The sequence below is a fragment of the Homo sapiens genome, chromosome 4 (genome assembly GCF_000001405.40).
Source record: "Homo sapiens chromosome 4, GRCh38.p14 Primary Assembly".
Classification (NCBI taxonomy): domain Eukaryota; kingdom Metazoa; phylum Chordata; class Mammalia; order Primates; family Hominidae; genus Homo; species Homo sapiens.
In genome coordinates, this window is record NC_000004.12 from 95,933,540 (window position 1) to 95,943,487 (window position 9,948).

Consider the following 9,948-nt stretch of genomic DNA (forward strand, 5'->3'; position numbering starts at 1 on the left):
TAACTTTTTGAACTGAAAGGCACAGGAAAAAAGGAATAAGATTTTTTAAAAAGAGAAAAAGGGATTAAGACTAACAAATTTGGGGCAGAAATTTGGGTTGAATTCCATAATTCAACTCATAAAGTGCCTTGTAAATAAAGTACTTGGTATAAAGCATCTTCATTACACATGAAGGGATACATTGCTGTTTAAAAGTGGATCCAGATTAGTTGTGATTATACTTCAAATTTTAAGGCAACAACTCAAAAATCTTAAAAAGTATAATTGAATAGCAAGAGAGGAGAGAGACTGAAATAATAAAACATTCATTTAAAAGTAGCAAAGGCAGAAGGAAGGGGAAGAAAAGAAAAAAGAAGAGCAACAAATAGAAAATAGTTACAAATATAATAAATATGTCTTAGTCCTTTTGAGTTGCTATAAAAATAACACAGACTGGTTAATTTATAAAGAGCTGTAATTTATTGACTCATGGTTCTTGAGGCTGGAAAGCCCAAGACTGACGGGCCAGCATCTTCTGAGGGCCTTCCTGCTGCATCATCCTATGGCAGGAGGGCAGAGGGCAAAAGGGGACTGAACTCATCCATTATATAAGAGACCTACTCCTGCTATAACAAATCTACTTTTGTAATAACAGCATTAATTCACTCATAAGAGAGGTGCTCACAGGATCCAAACATCTCCCATTAGGCTTCACCTCCCAACAGGCCCTACTTCGCAACACCAATAGGTTGGGGATCAAGTTTTCAACATATTAACTTTAAGGGACACATTAAAATAATAGAAAGATATTAATTCAACTGTATCAATAATCACTTCATATGTGAGTCACTTAAATCAATTTAAAAATAGATTGTCAGAATTGGGCGGAAACCAACAAGACCCAAACATATTATCTATGAGAACCTACTTTAAATTTTAGCAATTGAATAAGTTAAAAGATATACCATGTTAGTACTATTCGAAAGAAAGCTGGAGTAATTATATAAATTTCAGACAAGGCAGAGTTCAAACAAGGAAAACTGTTGGTTATAAATAGGGTATTAAATAATGATAATGTGGTTAATTACACAAGAAGAGATAAAAAAATCTTAAGTTTATGTATAAATCCACTATTATAGTTAGAGACTAGCACTCCTTTATCAGTAATTACTAAGTCAAAGAGGCAAAAGGTCAGTAAGAATACAGATTCAACATATGTCTAAATACCACTTTGGTCAAAGACGCCTCAAGAGAAATTAAAAAGGGTTTTGAATTAAATGAAAATGAAAATACAACTTATCAAAAGTTGTGAAATGCAGCAAGCAATGAATAGAGGGAAATCTACAGCATTAAATGCATATATTAGAAGAAAGACCTAAAGTTAATAATCTAAGTTCCATATTAGGAAAATAGAGAACAGAGAGCAATTTAAACATAAAGCAAGCAGAAGAAATAAAAAACAGAGCAGAAATTAATGTAATTAAAATCAGTAAAATACAGAAAATAAAAAATTCAAGCTTCTTTTTTGAAGAGATTGATAAAATTGATAAAGCTGTAGGTACTTTAACGAAGAAAAAAAGAGAAAATAAAAATTACCAATATCAGAAATAAAAGAAGGGTCATCTCATGGGTATTAGAAGGATAATCAAGGAATACTACGAACGACTGTATGCCAACAAATTTGATAACTTTGATAAAATTAATCAATATTTTGAAAGATAAAAACTACAAACTCCTCATAAGAAGAAACAGATAATCTGAATAGGTATATATTGATTAAAGAATTTGAATAATTAATACCTTCCAAAAAAGAAAGCTGCAGTCCCAGACTTCACCAGTGAATTCCACGAAACATTTAAGAAATAATAATTTTCTACAATACCATTCAAAAAATAGATATCTAGGGATCACTTCTTAATATAGTTAGGCTTTGTGTTCCCACCCAAATCTAATCTTGAATTGCAATCCCCGTAATCAGCATGTGTGAACAGAGAAACCAAGTGGAGGTAACTGAATCATGGGGTAGTTTCCTCCATGCTTCTCTCGTGACGGTGAATGAGTTTTGACAAGATCTGATCATTTTTTAGGGGGCTCTTCCTTCTTCCCTTGGCACTTCTTCCTGCCACCTTGTGAAGAACAGATACAAAAATTCTTAACACATCAGCAAATTAAATCTAACAAAGCATGAAAAGAATTATATAGCATGACCAAATGAGATTTATTCCAGGTATGCAAGGCTAGTTCAACATTTGAAAATAAAATAACATAATCCATCATATCAACAAGCTAAAAAAGAAAAATTATACAATTATAATCATTTGACACAGAAAAAAAAAACACTTGACAAAGTCAAACACATGTTCATGATAAACACTCTTAGCCAACTAGGAAAAGAGGGGAACTTCTTCAAATAGAGAACATGTACAAAAAAAGTACAGTTAACTTAACACTTGTCTATATAGAAAGCCACAAATAATTGACAAAAAAGTACTTCTGGAACAAATAAGAGATTATAGCAAAGTTTCAGCATGTAAGGCCAATAGACAAATGTTGATTACCTTCCTACATACAAACAATTGTTACAAACAATTGGAATTTGAAGTTTAAAAACAATACCAATATTGTTAGCATCCCTCCTCAAAATTGAAACACTGTGATAAACCTAACAAAGCATGTACAGCATCTATGTGTGACACATTCAATGCAAGCCCCATAAAAATCCCAGCAACTATTTTGTAGATACTGACAAATGGAGCTGAAGTCTATGTGAAAAGGTGAGATTTCTACAATAGCTAACACAACACCAAAGAACAACAAAACTTGGGGACTGACATACCCTACTTCAAGTTTACTGAATAGCCAACTGTAAACCAGACATCATGGTATTGGAGAAAGGATAAACATAGATAAATGGAACGGAACAAAGAATCTACATGTGGAAACCCACAGTTACAATTTATTGATCCTTGATAAAGCAGCCAAGACAATTCAGGTCAGAAAGGATAGTTTTTAAGCAAATGAAGCTGGAATTGGAAATCCATATGCAAAATGTAATCCTACATACAAGCTTTATAGCTTTTGCAAAAATTAACTCAAATTGGACCATAAACCTAAATGCTAAACTATAAAACTTGGAAACCTAAAAAACTTCTAGAACATAAGAAAATATCTAGGTAACTTTGAATTTGAGCATCAGTTTTTAGACACAATATCAAAAGAACAGTTCATGAAAGAAAAAAATTGATGTGTTAATATTTAAAACCCCTTTTCTGTGAAAGATACTTTTAAGTGAATGAAAAGACAAGCCACAGACCAGAAAAACAATATTTATAAATCCTATAGCTGATAAAGAATTTATATGCAAAATATTCAAAAAACCGTTAAAACTTACCAATAAGAAAACAACCCGATTAAAAAATGGGCAAAAGATCTGAAAAAAATCTCTAGAAGATATATAGATGGTAGAAAATTATGAAAGTTTCTAATATTTGTCATGAAGGAATTACAACTTAAAGTAACAATGAGATACCACTATATTAGCCTACTAGAAGGACTGAACACTTTTTTAAACTGACAAAAGCAAATGTTTGTGAGGTACAGGAGCAAAAAGAACCTTTCACTCATTTATGGTGGGAACTATCTTCTAATGGCACACCTTAGAAAATAGTTTGGCGGTTTATTTTTAATAAAAGATCTAACCTTTGTGCTTATATATATTTACCCAACTGATTTGAAACTTTTGTACACATAAAAACTGTACATAAATTTTTATAGAGGCTTTATTCACAATTGGAAACTGGAAGCAATCAAGTTGTCCTTCAATAGGTGAACAGAAACAAAACGTCGTGGTGCATCCATGTAATCAAATATTATTCAATGATTAAAACAAAAAAGCTATCAAGGCATGGAAAAATATGGATAAACCTTAAATGCAAGTTGTTAAGTGAAAAAAAGTCAGTCTGAAAGGGCTACATACTTTACTGTTTAAACTGTATGATATTCTGAAAGAGACAAATCAATAGAAACAAAAAGATCAGTAGCTGACAAGGGTTCTGGGGGAGTGGGGAGGGTTGGATAGGTGAAACACAGGAGTCTTTTTAGGGAAGCTGAACTATTCTGTATAATCCTGTAATGGTGTATACATGGCATTATGTATTTGTCAGACACACAGATTTTACAACATAGAAAGTTAAACTTTCAAAAATCATTTAGGAGATTGAAGTGGGGATTCCAGGAAGGAATTCAAACTCTGACAAACCTATCTAATTGTGTAACAAATGTAGCATACTGAAACATTAAGGAGAATGTATAGAATTAAATGCATATATTTGAAGAAGATAAAGATTGCATATCAGTGATGTTACACATCTCAAGAAATAAAGAAAAGAATAGCAAAACAAACAAAAAATAGAAATAAGAAAATAATTTGAATGGAACTAATAAACACTTGGTGATATTGTCTGAGGAGGTTGGGGAGGGAAGAGGGGAAACATAAATGAACGCCCTTATAGAAGGGATGAAAAGGCCAGGCGCGGTGGCTCAGGCCTGTAATCCCAGCACTTTGGGAGGCTGAGGTGGGTGGATCACGAGGTCAGGAGTTTGAGACCAGCCTGGCCAACATGGTGAAACCCCATCTCTACTAAAAATACAAAAATTAGCCGGGCGTTGTGGCAGGTGCCTGTAATCCCAGCTACTCGGGAGGCTGAGGCAGGAGAATTGCTTTAACCTGGGAGGCGGAGGTTGCAGTGAGCTGAGATCGCACCATTGCACTCCAGCCTGAGCAACAAGAGCGAAATTCCATCTCAAAAAAAAAAAAAAAAGAAAAGAAATTAAAACTTATTAAAAAATATTATCAACACTTCTAATCAATATTTTTGCTAGAGGTCTCAGCCAATACAAAAAGTCAAGATAAATAGATGAAAAAGGAATAAAGTGTCATTTTGCACAGATAATTTTGAACATAGAGTCAACAACTGAAAATCAATCCATCTAAATACTCACTGAATTCAAGGTCATCATTTATACAATAAATATACAAGGTTATTATTTATACAATAATATGTATACGATATTTATACAATATGTATACATTACATATTGTATACATACATAAATAATATGTATACATACATAAGTATACATATTATACAATATGTATACAATAAATTATACAAGGTTATTAATTATACAAATCAATTGTATTTCTATATACTAGCCACAGTGAATAAATATGAAAATAAGAAAATGAAGAAAAATGTAACATTCATATTAGCTTCTGGGTCAAAGGCACTATATTTAGGGGGAAATCGCATATAAACTGTCTCTTCTCTCAAAGAATAGGATTTGAAATTTTGTAGAATTTTTTCATAAGTTAGACTTTCCAGTCTTAGAATTTTCAGTCGTCTAGGTCTTAATCAAAGTGACTTTCTTCCATATTGAAAAGCTTTGTATTTCCATTTTCCGTTTGAGCCTTGTGTTTCTGGCATCTCAGTATTTAAATACAGAGATAAATTGCAGGGATTTTTTAGCCTGTGACCAATCACTGCCTCCAATGCCTCTTGCTGTGGATTGCTTGAGCCCGTATTCATCCACTCTGGCTGTGACTTAGAATTACTGGGGGAAGCTGTGCAAAAATACTGGTATCCAGACCTCACCCTCTGGCTTTGGGTACAAGCTTGGATTTATTTTAGCAGCTTTCTATGAGAGTCTAACATACCTCCAGGGTTGAGAATCATTTGCTGATGCTTATATAACAGTGGTTCTTAACTATGGCTGCACATTAGGCTCACCTGGAGAGCTTTTAAAAGTACTGATGACTAGGCCCTATCCCAAATTAATTAAGTCAGAATCTCTGAAGCATGTCTGTGAATGCAGTAGTTTTAAAAGGCTCTCCAGGTGATTCCAGTATGCTGTTAGGATTGAGAATCTCTCGTATACAACCTGCTTCTTAGGGAAGTAGTCTCACTCATCACCACATTTGTTTCAGCTGGAGAATAACCTTCTCCAGGTTAATCAACTGAGTTTGTTGTTGCTCTTAGAAACTAGTGAAGATCTGTGCCACTGGAGTTTTTCAAGACACTGGGTTTCTACAATTTTTGAACATACTAAGTATGTATTAGCATTTATTTCTACTTATTTTCCTAAAGTGATGTGATATGATGGCCAATTTACCTCTACTATTTCTATACTACATTATTTTTATAAATTTAGGGGCACAAGTGCAGTTGTATTACATGGGCATATTGTATAATGGTGAAATCTGGGCTTTTAGTGTACCCATCACCTGAATAGGGTACTTTGTACACAATAGGTAATATTTTATCCCTCACCCCTTCACCTGCCTATACCACTTTCAAGAAGACTCAGTAGTTTCTTGAAACCTAACCTGCTTCTTAAATTGATGTTTAACTCTCTCTTTCCTTGATTACATGTAGGGCCAGTATAATTTGCTGGCTAGTCCATTTCTGCTACAATAACAGAATACCTGAGACTGGATAATTAATAAAAAAAATTATTTCTCACAGTTCTGGAGGGAAGTCCAAGATCAAGACACCAGCATCTCCTGCGGGCCTTCTTGCTGCATTCTCACACAGCAGAAGACAGAACAGCAGGCCCTTATATAAAGGCACCCAATCCCAGTGAGGGAGAAGCCCTCATGACCTAATCACCTCTTAAAGCCCCGCCTCTTAACATTATCGCATTGGCAACACCTGAATTTTGGAAGAGACACATTCAAACCATAACACTAGCATTCTGTGCATTCATGCTTTTTTTATTTAATTTTGCTTTATGGCCCAGATATGTGATTTTCTAACATCATCCTCTAAATTTTGTTTTGCATTCTCTTTTAGTGAGAAAAAGGATATTCAGAAATTTGGGGTCTGATAAAAGCATTCACAGTTTGACAAAATCCTGTGCTCCTTCTTTTTATAAAAAAAACTATTATTACTTCTTTTAGTAATGGGCATCTCACTATGCTGTCCAGGCTGGAGTGCAGTGGCTATTCACACATGCAATAATAGCACAATAGCACACAACAGCATAGAACTCTTGGCCTCAAGTGATCCTCCTGTCTCAGCCTCCTGAGAAGCAGGGACTACAGGCGCATGCCAACACGCTTAGCTCTTCTTTTATTTGAATTGGATAATCCCACACAAGAAATATACTGCCCTCAAAAACATTCAACCCAGGCCTGAATGTAATCTGTGATTGTCCTGCCTGCTCTCTTTTTTCTATATTTCACCTTTCCTATGTTGGCCTTAAGGTCTTAATCTAAGGCACAGTAAATGTTCATATGCTCATTTTATTATGGTTCTATCACTTTGAAACTCAAATACCTATGCTTTGTTGATGGTGTGGATTTTTCTTTTTCTTTTCCACTGATCTCTTTGTTCTTCCCATTTCCAATCTTGCCAGATTTTCTGCAACCACTTTGTAAAGCCATCTTCACTAGTACAGGGTAGCTCCTCAGTTACTATTACTCTAAATTATCTTTTCATGTCCTTAAGAAGCTACCACGAATCCTTTCTTAGACTCTGGCCACTCCTGGAGATTATTTCAGATTTGGCTTTTCTTTCGAGAAGGCAATTAATAAATTTTTCTAGTTCCCTACAACTTTTACTGATTTAATGGCAACAAAATTTCCCCCTTTCCCATAGATATTTTAAGAGAAGCTAGAAGTGAGTATATTGTTTTCTCTTTCTATTTGCATATCATGATCTCTAAGATACAAACTAATCTTCATGTCTACCTGGTTTTCTCTTAATATGTGCACCTTTCTCCTAGGGAAATCTCTGTTTTCACCCTGAACTTAATAATTTTGTCTTTCTTTCTTTGGTTTTCATCCTTTACCACTCTTGATATAAAAGCAAAGCTGATCTATACTTTCACACCTTTGTTAATACCTTCCACTTTTTTTATTTTATGTGCAAATTTGACTTCTCAGATAGTGTTTTAAGAACAAGCTTTTTGAATTTGCTGTTTTAGTCTTCGTGTCTGTAATAAACTGAGTTTGTTTTCTTGCTCCAAGCAGAGAATATGGAACATTCTATTTCTGATGTGGCTCCCTTTACTTTTTGTTGATTCATAAAATCTCTCTATTATGAGTGAATTAGCTAAAATCCATAGTTAGAACATGTATAAATATACTGAGCCAAGTTGGAAACATGCAGGGTAAGCAACCTTTAAGAGCTCATAAAAGTCACCTGAGTTGAAGAATTTAGCCCTTTCTCAGATTATTCCTGTGGAACTGAATGTAGTTTAAAAAACAACATGAAAAACAACATAAATGGGGTGGCCTATGTGTGTGCAGAGTAGTTATTTTTAGGAGAAATGAATCTTGGTTGTTAGAAGACCAGCCTAAAAAAATCTGAAAAAAATACACTTGTGTTCTGCTTCCTAATTTCTTTCTTTCTTTCTTTCTTTTTTTGTTTTGTTTTTGAGACGGAGTTTCGCTGTGTTGCCCAGGCTGGAGCGCAGTGGCGCAATCTCGGCTCACTGCAAGCTCCGCCTCCCAGGTTCACGCCATTCTCCTGCCTCAGCCTCCCGAGTAGCTGGGACTACAGGCGCCCGCCACGACGCCCGGCTAATTTTTTTGTGTTTTTTTAGTAGAGACCGGGTTTCACCATGTTAGCCAGGACGGCCTCGATTTCCTGACCTCGTGATCCGCCCGCCTCAGCCTCCCAAAGTGCTGGGATTACAGGCCTGAGCCACTGCCCCCGGCCCTGCCTCCTAATTTCTAAGATGGCTGCAAAATGAAAGACTCCTTTTTAAAAATGCAATCCTTGCCCCGAACCAGCTCAGCAAATATTGGACTAACATAGACCAAGGGAAAGCTGTAGAAGCCTGTTCTTTAGAACCTACATCATCTAAAGTTTGAGCTTTTGCTGATTCTGATTGTTTGCCTTTGTAAGGCTGGTAAGACCCTACAATGGCTGAATTTTTCTTGTTGAGACTCCTAAGACCTCCTAGAACTTGCAAAGGCTCAGCATAGTTGTGTAAGGCTAGCTAATTCATTCAAACCATCCAGTAATCAGCAGGCAAAGTCAGTTTCAACATGGAAACAGATCACAGAACTCCTAGTACTGAAAGTGACATTTTTAGAACACATTAGTCAGTACTAAATTACAATACTCCAGGAAAGGAGTTTTTCCATGAAAATATCATAGGTGACCTAGAACTTAAAATCTTCTTGGGTATGGAGTTATTAGTTAACTTCAAAAACCATCCACATAGAACAATCTAAACTGTTGCAAACCACCAAGTTTCAACTAGAATTTTGGTGGCATTGCATTTCCCAATTTCCACTTCTTTACCAAATCTGTTTTTAACCCAATGTTTCATTTTTCTGAAGTAAAATTACCTCTATGTACCGAACCAGTATAGTTTGCAGGGACAGGCCTAAACCTTTAGAATATGAAGCACAAATGAAGAACGCGCAATGTGTGCTGTTTTATCTCTGTTGCTTGCTTGTTTTCTTTTCTTTTCTTTTTTTTTTTTTTTTTTCTAGATGGAGTCTTGCTTTGTCACCAGGCTGGAGTGCAGTGGTGTGATCTCGGCTCACTGAAACCTCCACCTCCCGGATTCAAATGATTCCCCTGCCTCAGCCCTCCCAAGTAGCTGGAACTACAGGCATGTGCCACCACACCCAGCTAATTTTTTTTGTATATTAGTAGAGACCCGGTTTCATCATGTTGGCCAGGATGGTCTCGATCTCTTGACCTCATGATCCACCCGCCTCAGCCTCCCGAAGTGCTGGGATTACAAGTGTGAGCCACCATGCCCTGCCATCTCTGTTGCTTTCTAAGAGGGGGAAGCAGAAGCAACTGAGATAGACATGCCCATTTTCCTCTCCTAAACTCACCTCTTCCCCTTGAAAGGAGCGAGGAAGTAAGGATTGACCACACATTTAACCATATAATGGAGCTTCCTCCACAAGGAAGGGCCCATTAGAAGTAGGGAAAAAGTTTG

The 9,948-nt window shown here is 35.8% G+C and overlaps 2 annotated features.

The window, feature by feature from the left end:
• Positions 8,053–8,554: an enhancer, noted in NCBI's record as "H3K4me1 hESC enhancer chr4:96862743-96863244 (GRCh37/hg19 assembly coordinates)". NCBI's record gives its function as "activates a minimal SCP1, AML or CMV promoter by ChIP-STARR-seq in naive H9 embryonic stem cells {active_cell/tissue: H9 hESC(naive)}" and the evidence as "EXISTENCE:reporter gene assay evidence [ECO:0000049][PMID:30033119]".
• Positions 8,555–9,054: an enhancer, noted in NCBI's record as "H3K4me1 hESC enhancer chr4:96863245-96863744 (GRCh37/hg19 assembly coordinates)". NCBI's record gives its function as "activates a minimal SCP1, AML or CMV promoter by ChIP-STARR-seq in naive H9 embryonic stem cells {active_cell/tissue: H9 hESC(naive)}" and the evidence as "EXISTENCE:reporter gene assay evidence [ECO:0000049][PMID:30033119]".